Raw genomic sequence first — 766 nt, forward strand, 5'->3', positions numbered from 1 at the left:
GGGTGTGAGCTAAAGGCTGTCATTTAAAATTGCCCAGAACCCATGTCACAAGAACAGGTGGGCCCAGTTTAAAACAAAATAAATGAGAGGCTGAACTTACCAAAGCAAATATTGTGGAGTGATTATTCTGCTTTAGAAAAGGATTACCCTTGGGACTCTTCAGAGCAGTGATCTCTCTTATTGCCATTAAAATGTAAATCTCTCAATTCAAATTTGGTTAACACTCATGACCTTTCAGGAAAATGCTTGCTTTATTGAGCAAGGAATCCATTCCTTGTAAAGAAGAACAAATGAAAGGTTTGGTTCTTTTTTACAAATATGGAATAAGGTCTGCAAAGCTCTATTTCCTTTTTCTTTCTAAATGTGAAAGCTGTTAGAGAAGCCCCTCTATGGGAGAGGTTTTGTTTTTAAATTTCACTTGACATTCTTTCCTGAAACACGCTTATTAAAAGGTCAAGATTAGGTAGAGATACCAAACCCTTTTGTGAGCACATTTTATCTGCTGCTGAAAAGCTCTTTATCAGTAGGTGGCGCTATAAGAATGAGATTACCATACGCAGGGGCCAACACATTCAGGATAGAAAGCAAAATTCCGCCCTTTCTTGGACATCTTCCTGAAGGAAACAGCTTCGCTCTGCACCTTCATAGGATTCCTCTTTGCTTACCCCGAGCTGTCCCGCTCTGAATTGCTGTTTGAGCAGAGGGATGCCCACATTGTACCCTTCTTAGAATCCCAGAATGTGAAGGCTAGGAAGGACCTCTTATG

General features: G+C 40.3%; 1 annotated feature.

The window, feature by feature from the left end:
- Positions 472–766: a silencer, noted in NCBI's record as "tiled region #1195; K562 Repressive non-DNase unmatched - State 12:CtcfO". NCBI's record gives its function as "represses a minimal TATA promoter and a strong SV40 promoter by Sharpr-MPRA in K562 cells {active_cell/tissue: K562}" and the evidence as "EXISTENCE:reporter gene assay evidence [ECO:0000049][PMID:27701403]".

The sequence above is a fragment of the Homo sapiens genome, chromosome 12, assembly GCF_000001405.40.
Source record: "Homo sapiens chromosome 12, GRCh38.p14 Primary Assembly".
Taxonomy (NCBI): Eukaryota; Metazoa; Chordata; class Mammalia; order Primates; family Hominidae; genus Homo; species Homo sapiens.